Source organism: Homo sapiens, chromosome 4, assembly GCF_000001405.40.
Source record: "Homo sapiens chromosome 4, GRCh38.p14 Primary Assembly".
Classification (NCBI taxonomy): domain Eukaryota; kingdom Metazoa; phylum Chordata; class Mammalia; order Primates; family Hominidae; genus Homo; species Homo sapiens.
This window is the reverse complement of record NC_000004.12, coordinates 118,309,338-118,322,113: the sequence shown is the minus strand read 5'-3', so window position 1 is coordinate 118,322,113 and position 12,776 is coordinate 118,309,338. Positions and strand designations below refer to the sequence as shown.

At 35.2% G+C, this 12,776-nt stretch overlaps 1 protein-coding gene across 4 annotated transcripts in view; it reads left to right on the top strand.

The window, feature by feature from the left end:
• Positions 1-12,776, top strand: part of PRSS12 (serine protease 12) — a 72,966-nt gene that overhangs the window by 30,890 nt on the left and 29,300 nt on the right. For all 4 annotated transcript variants that reach the window (NM_001440549.1, NM_003619.4, NM_001440550.1 and 1 more), the window contains exons 5-7: positions 3,558-3,736; positions 5,791-5,932; positions 8,717-8,913. In NM_001440549.1, the coding sequence (NP_001427478.1) occupies positions 3,558-3,736; positions 5,791-5,932; positions 8,717-8,913 (518 nt within the window). The remainder of the gene's footprint in view (positions 1-3,557; positions 3,737-5,790; positions 5,933-8,716; positions 8,914-12,776) is intronic.

The following is a 12,776-nucleotide window of genomic DNA, read 5'->3' as shown; positions in this document are numbered from 1 at the left end:
CTTTCATTGCACAAAACGTTTTATTTTGGCACAACAGCCTTTTTAAATAAAATACTTTATGTGCATTCAAATATTTGAAAATGTTTGCCTCTCATTAGATATATCTCTACCACAGGAAAATCTGAAGTTTAGTGATGCAGGTCAGAGCTTACTTAATAGTCTTCTGGGCCGTTACCTTATAATCTATAATAAAAAATAACACATACATGCATTTGTTCAGTCTCCTATAGGCCATAAATTACTTCCATAAATATTTCTTTGAAATTTACTTTAAAATAAATAAATAAATGAAACAACATTAAAACCAGAAAATGTTAAGATATTGATTGATTCTCCCTTCCTTACCATTCCCCCAACTTTACTTTTTGGGGATGAAGGAAAGTAACAACCTTGGTGTTTGTTTAAACTAAATACCAAATGGTCTTTAGATAAATGGCTTAGCAGTGAAAAATATGTTATTTATCAACTGTCAGGGGTACGTGGGGATTCCTTAACGTGCCAGAAGAGGGAAGGGAACCAGCATTTATTGAGCTCCTACTTTGCATCAGTTTAATTCCTACAACCCTGCAAGTTAGCCGTTATCATCCCTGTGTTCAGCTTTGCATCCTAAGCCTGGAAGGTTTTAGTAACTTCCCCAAGGTAGCCCAGCTTGTTGAAGGTACAGCCCAGATTGGAAGCTGAGAGTCTGTGTCCACATATACTTCTCCACTTCAAAGATTGAGCTTGGAAAAAATAAGCTTTTTGACATGGTCAGTAATATACAAATATTTATACATGATTAGTGCACTCTTCTCTAGGCATATAGACATACTTTGAAACAGCTGAAAACTTTATTTAGAACAATCCTATTAATTAAGCATTTATTGACTCTTTCCAGAGTAGACATGACTTTCTGTTTTGTCATTACATTTCCCTTAGCAAAACAAACAAATTCACTCACAAAATTGTCATTTTGACAATATCATTTGTGTTAGGATTCCTTTGTGTTAGGACTCCAATATTATATGTGTTAGAATTCCAAATGTTTTCCTCACATTTGTCCTATTAGTTCTAGATATTAGTCTTTAATTTTTGTTGGGGCAGATTGCTCAGAGTCCACTGTGTTACAAGTATCAGATAGTGCCAGGATTCTAAATTTTAAAATGTTAACTCCATGAAAATATTTTGCTTAAGCCATCTTCTTTTCCTCAGCTTCCTCTATACCTCCTATAATATTCTTTTATCCTTCCTCTTGAATTTTAAACTCAAATTTTGAGTTTGGCACACTCTTTGAATTTTAAACTCAAAGTGAGTCAGGTGATGACGGAGCATTCCCTAAGCATTTGCTTTAATGATATTGTTGTTATTATTATTATTATTTTGAGACAGGATTTCTCTGTGTCACCCAGGCTGGAGTGCAGTGGCATGATCACGGGTCATTGCAGCCTTGACTTCCTGGGTTCCAGCAATCCTCCCACCTTGGCCTCCCGAGTAGCTGGGACCACAGGTGTGTGCCACCACACCTGGCTAATTTTTGTATGTTTTTGTACAGATGGGGTTTTGCCCTGTTGCCCAGGTTGATCTCAAACTCCTGAGCTCAAGTAGTCCACCCACCTTGGCTTCCCAAAGTGCTGGGATTACAGGCGTGAGCCACTGTGTCTGGCCCTCTAATGATATTAAAATAGGTGTTAACTTTTAGATATTTTTGTTTTCTTAGGCATGTTCTTTTAAAAGAAACTTCCATGTTATCTAGTAGAAATAGTGAATCAGGCTCCTTTTTAGCCGCAAAATTGGTATCTAAGACTTTACCATTAGTGGGGTATTACAGCCATTTAGCACACTTTTTTTTCTTCAATATATTTTTGTTGTAAATTCTCAAGTTATAATGTTATAAGAAAAGAGCAGCTAAAATAATGGGGGAGTAGATGCAGTATCATTGAAAAACAAACTAAAAATATAAATGCTATAGTCTAAAAATTAAAAGCCTAAAAGGGACTGAAAATGCAATATCTGAAATTATTAATCACTTTGACAGGTTTGTGATCTTCACTTAAATCTGGGGTTCTAAGAATATGCTATTGCTTTGAATTGTGGGAGAAGTAAATTAACTACAAATAAACTTCAGTAAAGAGATGTTTTTGTTAGAAATAGACTTGGCTGTCAGGCATGGTGGCTCGTACTTGTAATCCCAGCACTTTTGGGAGGTTGAGGTGGGAAGATTGCTTGAGTGCAGGAGTTCAAGACCAGGCTGGGCAACATAATGAGACTCCATCTCTACAAAAAATAAAACATTCACTGGCACGGTGGTATGCACTTATAGTCCCAGATACTGAGGAGGCTGAGGTGGGAGGATCACTGGAGCCCAGGAGGTCAAGACTGCCTTAAGCCATGATCACGCTGCTGCACTCCAGCCTGGGCAACAGAGTGAGACCCTGTCTCAAAATAACAACAACATTAAAAAAGAAGTAGATTTGGCTGTGAGTAACAAAGAACTGAAAATAACAGCAGTTTAAACAAGTTTAGAGTCGAGTGTATTTTATGTTTAGGAAAAGAGACTAGAGGTAGCCAGCTCAAGAGTAGTTTGGTGGTTCCGCAATTATTAAGGCCCCGAATCTCTCTTGTTTGCATTTCTGTCATCCTTAGTATGGGACCCTATGGCCCAAGATAACTTATTAGGCTCCAGCCATCCTTGCAGTCAGGAGAAGGAAGATACTTCCTACAAGTAATACATGGTACTTCCACCTAAATATCACTGGTCAGAACTTATGGCAGGGTGCGGTGGTTCACACCTGGAATCCCAGCACTTTTGGAGGCTGAAGCAGGAAGATTGCTTGAGGCCAGGATTTCAAGACCAGCCTGGGTAACATACTGAAACCCCACCACTTCAAAATAAAAAATAAAAAGAAAATTAGCCAGGTGTGGTGGCATATACCTGTATTCCTAGCAACTCAAAAGTCTGTGGTGAGAGGATTGCTCAAGCCTAGGAGTTAAAGGTTGCAGTAAGCTATGGTCATGCCACACCACTCCAGCCTGGGTGACAGAGTGAGACTATGACTCAAACATAACAAAAAGAAAAACAAAACTTAGGCGTCTAAAATAGGAGCACAATTTTATTTGGGGATGATGAAAAAGTTCTGGAGATGGATGGTAGTGATATTGTACAATAATGTGAAGGTGCTTAATGCACTATAAACCAAAAATGTTTTAAATGGTAAACTTTATGTTATGTTTATTTTACCACAAACAAACAAACTTAGTCATCAAGAAGGAGGGGAGGCCAAAATGTGATTTTAATTTTGGATAGCCATTGTCCTCCTAAAAATCTGAAGTTCCATTACTAATGAAGAAAAGGAGGTTAAATATTGGGCAGTACCTAACTTTGAAACATGGGTAATGGCTGAAAATATAAAGGACAACAAACAAATATACAAAAAAGAAATACAGAAAGTCATGCATGACCTGTGAAGTGAATTAATAAGTGGGGATTAATAATAATGCTTTTACTAGGGACAAAAAAAAAATAAAAGACCAATCTTTGGTATCTAATCCAGAATCCTTACATTCTTTTATTTGTTCAGTGGCATTGCCAAAGCATGGCATCAGGCATATTTTGGGGAAGGGTCTGGCCCAGTTATGTTGGATGAAGTACGCTGCACTGGGAATGAGCTTTCAATTGAGCAGTGTCCAAAGAGCTCCTGGGGAGAGCATAACTGTGGCCATAAAGAAGATGCTGGAGTGTCCTGTACCCCTCTAACAGGTAAGGATTTCACTCCATTAGTGTACCAGTTCTTGCCCCCAGTACCATGTCGGCCTGCCACAGCTTCCCTTCTCCTTAATTTCAACATTACCAAATGAGCATACAAATAAATACACCAAATAAAACAAACAAAAAGAATGCAAACCGTATATTAAAGTACCATCTTTTTATTCATAGTTATTCCTGAATTTTTCAATTTAAGGCTATATAGTCTTGTAAAGCTAGATCAGAAAATAGGACTTTGTTGCAGTATATAGTACCCAATAGTCAAAATCAGTGTGCAGTGATACATTCCAGATATTAGGTGTAATAATTCCATCTTTAGTCCATTCATCTATTAACGTTTCTTGACTCAGAATGTGTTTAGAGCTGGTATTGATGCAATTGTTGATTAAAGCACACTGTGAAAGAAACCAAGTTAACTTTGCTATGCACAATTTTCAGACTATTCCAAATGACAGCATGCCTGTCAAAATGTGTCATGTGTTGTAAGAAGGGCATATGTGAGTACAAACTGGTGTGCGTGTATGTACTTACATGTTTAGGGAGAAGAAGAAGGAAATGGAAAAGGCAAGAGAAACTGACTCATCAGAAACCATTTAGTAAAAAGAACTTGAAGAAAAAAATGTTTTGTTTACATATTTCTTTAGTGAAAATCAATAACTTGTTAGAATCTATGAAATACCAGATTTATATCATTCTCTTCACATACTTCTATACATGCAGTTGTTTTTATTAGCAGATTAACACATTAATACACCATAGAAATGTATTTACGCCAGATTTTTAGCCAGAGCACTTCATTTTCTTGAACTGCCATTTTCCCCTCCTTCAAATGAGGATAGTCTTGTAACATTGCTGTGATGCTCAGATGAGATAATGCATGTCATAATGCTTTGCAGACAGTAAAATATTATATTAATAAAAGGTTTGTTGCTCAGAGACCTTTACTTTAAAAGATCCCTGAGATTTATGAAAAGTATGACCCTTACCCAAGATTATTTATATGTTTCATTGAGAGTTTTTGGATTATTTTGGTTGGAAATGGCTTTTAAATCTACTTTTTTTGGAATTAAATTTATTATACTGTTTATCTGCTTAGAAGCTCTTTATAGAATTATAGGCAAATTAATTATTATTTGAGTTAATAAGATTCAAATTCAGATCTGTATTATCAATAAAAGAACAAAGGCGAGACATATCTTCCAGTTTTTATAATTCATGAATGCCTAACAAATAATATATGCATTGACATGACAGACTGTCTTTTATCCAGAATAGTTTTTTTCTGTCATCCTATTTCAGTATTTTTTTCATTTGCAGTTAAAATTCTGAGCTATTTCCAAGTTACTGTATTTTCTTTTTAAATTTAAATGACATGTATTGCTCTGACTTGAGACTAAAGTTATATGAAATTTCCCAAATGTTGTTTAATCTAGAGAAGTCTAAATAGATACTTTGGAATTATATCAGGATATATTTTTCTACATAGAGAATAGGGGTACCAATAAAAAGGAAAGATATATATATATATATATATTTTTTTTTTTTTCCGTGAGACGGAGTCTCGCTTTGTTGCCCAGACTGGAGGGCAGTGGTGCGATTTCAGCTCACTGTAACCTCTGCCTCCTGGGCTGAAGCGATTTTCCCGCCTCAGCCTCCCAAGTAGCTGGGATTACAGGCATGCGCCACCATGCTCAGCTAATTTTTGTATTTTTAGTAGAGACAGGGTTTCACCATGTTGGCCAGGCTGATCTCGAACTCCTGACCTCAGGTGATCCACCTGCCTCAGCCTCCCGAAATGCTGGGATTACAGGAGTGAGCCACCACACCCAGCTGGAAAGAATATTTTATTAGGACAGAAATGTGTTACGTCAAACTTCAGAAACAACATGATAACCTCAGAGGGTCATTTAGCACAGATGTAATGTAAGTTTAGCAAAAGGCCTAGAGTGAGGCCTGAATATGGTGATATTTCTTGTGAAATACAAATGTTGTTTTGCCTTTTTTTGAAAGTTGATTTGCTTAGTCTCTGTGTCTCCTCTTTATCACAGATGGGGTCATCAGACTTGCAGGTGGGAAAGGCAGCCATGAGGGTCGCTTGGAGGTATATTACAGAGGCCAGTGGGGAACTGTCTGTGATGATGGCTGGACTGAGCTGAATACATACGTGGTTTGTCGACAATTGGGATTTAAGTAAGGTTCATTAATTATAAAGGCAGTTAAATGCCAGATTATATTGTTAAAAGTCTTATTATGTTAATCCCTACTTGTAATTTTTATAATAATAAAAATACCTGTTCTCTCCTACCTGTGTATGGAAGTACAACAATGAAAAATAATGACATTTTCTAAGATGATGAATAACCACCTCTTGCTGTTTATTTCATTTACCTTTCCTGCCATGACCCCTCTTCTTGAATAATTAGTTGAAGCCAGGGGTGACCTCTAAGTCCCCTTGTGTCTATTCAAGTAAGACTTTGAATGCTCATTTTTATTCTGACACGTCATTACTATTGGATGTTTTTAGTTTTGACATCATTGTCTAAAATTGCAGAGAAGTCTAGTGTCAAATGCTTTGGTATTACATTATTCCCTTTCTCAGAATGTGATGATAATTATCACTTTTATTTGAGAAAAACAGCCCTCTTGTTAGGAGATGACCTTTAGAACTTGCTTTTGACCTCACTCTCTTAAAAGCTGAGTATCACACTTTGGGACATGTATTTTATGTCACACACATAATGCATTCCAGAGTAAAGACTTAAGTTGGTCGAAGTAACTGCAAATGATGCTTTTGAGTTAAATATTTGAATGAAAGCTATGAATGCCTATTCTTTCTTGTTTTCCATATTTCTCTGTCATGCTTGAAGTAATTGTCTTATGCTTAAAAAAACTGGCAAAATTGTTTCATTTTAGCTTGATTAGAGCTGACTGAAGATATTCACTACACTTTAAAAACATAGCTTCATTCAAGCTAGGCAAAGCCATGTTAAACATATATTTTAAAATTTATAAAAGTAATGTAAAACCATTGGAAAATGATGAAAATAAAAAACTCCATAATTTTTTATCCTTATGCTATCATTATAATTTGGGTAGATAACTTCATATCAGCTCTAGTAATGGACATGTAATTTTTATCCACATTTTTAACCTTATATTGCTACATACTCACAATTTTTAATGAAAACAATATCCACAGAATTTTCATACTGTAATTTACTTAATATTAGGTCAGCTTAATTTTTCCTGTGATAAGTAATGCTATCATGAAAACACAATATTCATATAATTTCCCCCATTTTGTCTTTTCTTGGGCAGAGAAGTTACTGTAATTTTTGTGTAAAAGGGTATGATATGACAGCCAAATAAATACAATATGCTGACAATTGATAAGAATTAGTTAATAAATATCACTTTATATTTAAGTGAATCTCAGACTGCCAACTATACTCTGTTTTCACAGATTTAGAGAGATTCATAAAATCATGTCATTTCTATTTATTTTCACATTTAGAGAGATTCATAAATCCTGTTATTTCTATTTTTCATATTTTTTTATTAATGAAAACAACACTGATTTTTTTCTTCATATTTTATTTTGTTTCACAAATCTATGCACAGAGTATTCACATTTATTTTAAAAATGTTCTCAATAATGTGTGTAAAAAGCTCTAAATGATTGTGTTAGAAGGTAGTCAAAGCATGTGTTACATTTGCTTCTAGTTTACAAAGGAATTTTTGAAAAAGAATATTCTTTTGTAATGAGAAAAAGTAAACTTTGGGTTTTTTTGTACAAATGCAATTCCAAAGTAAAATGACTTCCTGTTATCTGTTGTGTAGTTGCTATGGACAGATGATAATCTAATGTATTTCGTGAAAAAATGGTCTATAAGTTAAAAGTGAGCAATATACGATTTAGGCTTATTACTTTTCTAGCCAAGGGTTGATTAGTCAGCAAAATAGAAGGAAGAGAAGCCATAGAATGATTAAAATTTTCATTGTTTTAATTTATTAAAATATTCATTTTGTCAAATAAATTTAATAAATACTTGCATAAAAAAAGAAGAAAATTCATGTCAGATAGAAAGATCTCTTCATATTCTTAGTACAGAAATAATAAAAACATCAAGTAAGGGAATTATTATATGAGTAAGAGTTGAATCTTGTAGGCTGTTAGAACTGAAAGGTGTCTTAAAGATTTTTAAGCTCCGTGATTTCTGGAGGTTTGGATTTTATGGAACAAAAGGAAATAAAATTGGGAGGATGAAAGAAGGTGCAGATTGACTTAATTTCTAATTTAAAAAATTTTTCAGATCTCTCCTATTTCTGCAGCATATATATTTATTATACGTTTAGGTTTTGTTTCTGTAGTGCAGTGTTACAAATACACTCAATTGGAACACAAATATAATTGATAAACATTTTAAAGTTGAATTTGTATACCTTATGAAAAGCTAAGAATATTATAATTCTGATTTTGATGGGCTGAAATCTAAATTTAATCATGGATTAGGTATAGTGCTTGAGCAATCACTGAACTAATCCACACTTTTTATTTTGAAAGAAGACCAAAGAGAAGCTGCTGAAATCAAATGAGTTCAGAGGGAGCATCAGAAGCAAAATGAGAAAAGTGTTCTCACTTTCTGGTCACAATTTCTATGGTCAGGAATTTGAGATTGATCTCTTTGCATTCTCTCTGATTGGTTTTGTAGACAAAACACAAGAATGAATGGGGAAAAAGTATTAATTTTTCATTTGTTATTCGTTGAAATAATCGAACATTTTTAAGGTGATTAAAACATGTGATGGGCTGGGCGAACATAGCTCTAAACTGCGTCCCCAAGGTAGGAGAAAGAACAGATACTTATCCTCTGAAGTCATGTCACTGAACTAAGTTGCTTGTGTTAAATGTTTTGTGGTTCCCTGAACCAAGAGACAGAAGTTCTATACACAGTGTTTATTCAATTGTCACAGATATGGTAAACAAGCATCTGCCAACCATTTTGAAGAAAGCACAGGGCCCATATGGTTGGATGACGTCAGCTGCTCAGGAAAGGAAACCAGATTTCTTCAGTGTTCCAGGCGACAGTGGGGAAGGCATGACTGCAGCCACCGCGAAGATGTTAGCATTGCCTGCTACCCTGGCGGCGAGGGACACAGGCTCTCTCTGGGTGAGGACTGGCTGCAGCTCTCAAGTTTCCATCATTCAGTAGCCATTGCACCTCTAACCACTGGCCTTGAATATGAAGTGTTTCTCATCTTTGGCTTTTTTTGGGGTCTATTTCCCATAACTGTCTAATTTTCAGTAATTTTTATGCAGAGAAAAATAATCTTTTGAGTCTGTGCGCCAACATTATGAAATTTCTACCCCTAAATTGTTTTTCTTTACTTAGAAAATTAAGTTCCTCACTAACAATGTTTACAATCATCTGTATCTGAAAAATGGAATAAAGAAGCTGCAGTATCTATTCCCCTTACTCCTCGGTCACTTATTCTGATTTTCATTTACCTTGAATTCTAGTGAGCTATTTGGGATAGGATTTAAAATAAGAATATTCTCCTCTCCCTGTCTCATGGTTCATTTCTTCTCTAGTCCTGAAGCCTTGTCGTTCGTTGGTCACCAACCATCCATTGCTCTTTTAAGTGTCTCAGTGGTCTTCTAAGTGGATTAATTAAAGTTAATAGCTCACCCATCTTTCTAGTGTAACTTGTTATTTTAGAAACCCATCAGGGACCTCTGTTACTCTTCATTTACATTTTTTTAGACTTTTTGGATAAAAGGTAACTAGCTCCTCTAACTGTATTGAAATAATTATAGATAAAGATCCTCTTGAGAGTAGATAGCAGTTAAACATTCTTGATAAATTTCTTAATGTCTGATGAGGAGGGCAGAATATATATGAATGAAAAATACAGAGGGAAATATTCAAAATACTTTGTTGTATGCTATCACAGCTTTATTATATATCTATCTGTGTGTATGTGTATGTGTGTGCGTGTGTGTGTGTGTGTATGTGTATGAATAGATGTTAAAATAGCCTTAGGTGGTCTTTACTTTTAACCTTGGATTGAATCAACTCCTTTGTATTCTCCTGTTTGGAGACTGTGAAGCTGAAATCTTCATGTTATAAAGTAACAACTTTTTGAACCTCAGAGTATTAACCATATTACATACTTTAAATTTGTCAGAGTCTGTGGCTGATTCCTCATTGTACTGTACACTGTGAGAGCTTGGTGACACTGCATTAATCTAGCATTATACCAAGTTGAAATACATGTTTTTATTCCATCTCTTGCAGGCCATATTTCCATTTTTCTTTCTTTTCATTTTGTTCTCCTTTTCCCTTGCCCCTTCTTTTGAAAGATTTGTGATCCTCCCAGGATTATGTGGTGGATGTGGTTGAGGGAGATAGAATTTGTTTGCTGGAGATGGATTCTCTCAGCCCCAGATAGCAGGTGTTGGAATCATGGGATGATCTACGCAGATATGCTCTGTGAGCTCCCAGTGATGAAATACTATGTGACCTGAGTTCTCTGTAGGCCTGTGTTGTTAAACACATCATATGGTTGGAATAACTAATCTTTTCTGTTCCCTTGAAAATCTTTTTAATTCTAGGACTCTAGATGTATTTTTAAAAAATTTAAAAACCTGAGGGTGATAATTATTAATAAAATATATGATCACTATTATGAATCTCTTTGGTTCTAATCTCAGTAATGTGTCTATTAACTAAAGTCATTTGTCTGAAGAACATTATATCTGAGCCAAATATCCTTTTGGGATAGAATCATATTACTATTTGTTCATTCATAGATCATTACTTCCACCTATTAAAAACTACTATATATTTAAAAGGGAAGCTTAGAGGAGGAGATAACAGGATAACAATATAAATAACAGCATTTAGGAAACAATGGAGATTTTTTACTTCTTTGGCACTGCAATGATGAGCTCTTGGACTACTGCTGTTTTCAGCTATTTGAAGGCTAATTTCTGGACCTTAACTTTATATGTCAAGGGAAACTTCTCAAAATTAGTTATAGCCCTGTAGACACTCTTTTGGGTCTGTGGTAGGTGAAATGCTCAAAAGCAGTATTCTAGATTAGTAAAAGTAATTCTAGTAAGAATACAGTTATGTGAGTTGGCAGAAATTTCTGGGATGGTAAAAATATGGATTTCTCGTTTTAATATTACATTAATTCTAAAGTTCAGAGTATTAAGTCCTGGCAAAGATTTCTTTCCCAGTGAGGTTGTTGCCTCTTACTCAATTTTACAGTATAAAATTAGGCTTAATTTAATTAATTAATTAATTAATTAATTGAGACAGAGTCTCACTCTGTCACCCAGGCTGGAGTGCAGTGGCGCAATCTCGGCTCACTGCAACCTCCACCTCCCGGATTCAAGCAATTCTCCTGCCTCAGCCTCCCAAGTATCTGGGATTACAGGTGCCTGCCACCACACCCAGCTAATATTTGTATTTTTAGTACAGATGGAGTTTTGCCATGTTGGCCAGGCTGGCCCCAAACTCCTGACCTCAGGTGATCTGCCTGCCTTGGCCTCCCAAAGTGCTGGGATTACAGGTGTGAGCCACTGAGCCTGGCCTAAAATTAGGCTTTTGCTGTGTATGTATGCATGTTAGAATTTATCTTTTTTCTAAAAGACAGTAGTATTTTATAAAAATAATGTATTATGTTACAGGAAAAATCAAAGAAAACTACTGAAAGCTTGAGATATATATTAAAGATAACTGTATACCAATATGATTGTTTAGCTTTTCCAAAAACTTTATATATTTAAGATTTTGGAAATAAAACATGCTATGTATTATTATTTCTGTAACAACACAAACTTAATAGTGACAACGTATGGATGGCATGACTTTTGTCATCCAGTTTCCCTTCAAGAATTAGGAATTTAATGATTTTGTAGAATGAATGGCTAAAATTAGGTTCAGAAATATTGTATGCATTATTTTTACAAAGCCATGCAAGTTATACTTTAAAAACACTTTATCATTTTTATTTTCAGAGTATATGAAAATGTGCCTGTAAAACTACCAGAATGGAACATGTAGATCTAATTTCATGTGCAAATGTTTTCTTAATTTTGAACCAAATATCCAAAAATATAAAAAGTGAAAACTTTAATAAAAGAATTTCATTTGTTTGATTTTGGTATCTGAGGATCACTTTTTCACTTTCTGTTCTTGCAAAGAACTCCCAAATTTCAGATGTATTAATGAGAAATATGAAGTTTCAATATTGTGTTTTATGACACAGCTAAAACTCCAAGTTTTTATCCAGCTGATAGTAAGCAGTGCATACATAGAGTTGGCACGCCATAAACATTTGTTGAGTTTGATTTTGCTCTGTGATTCCGCTATACTGCCTTGTCCCATGAAGTGAACATGATTAGGGATAGAGACTGGGGAGCCAACAACTCTTGGGGCAACACAGAAGGATGGAGAAGTAAAAAATGGGTCAGAAGAATAAAAATAGAGTGTGTCCATCTTGCTAACAATATTTTCTTTTAGTTAACCAATGTTGATTTAGTAACTTCACATATTGGTTTAAACATATATTAAATAATATATTGTCCATTACCTGCAGACTTCTACCTCCCTAGTTCTGCTAATAAGTTTACCATGCTTTATTGTATTCCCTAAATCCTTAACAGCAAATCTTGGCCCTGAAGCTGGAGACCCTTCTAGTAACTAGGTAATCAGATGTGTGAGTGTTAGCTTGCTTGGGTTGCTATAACAAAGTTCCACAGAGGTGACTTAAACACAGATGTTTATTGTTTCACAGTTTTGGGGGTTGGAGTCCACAATCAAATGTCAGTAGGGTTGGTTCCTTCAGAAAGAACTGTGAGGGAAGGGCTGTGTGAGAGAGAGAGATGCTCCAGGCCTCTCTCCTTAGCTTGTATATGGCAGTCCTCTCCCTGTGTCTCTTCACATCATCCTCTTCATGTCTAAATTTCTCAATTTTATGGGAATACCAACGTATTTGATTAGGGCTCACCCTAATGACCTCA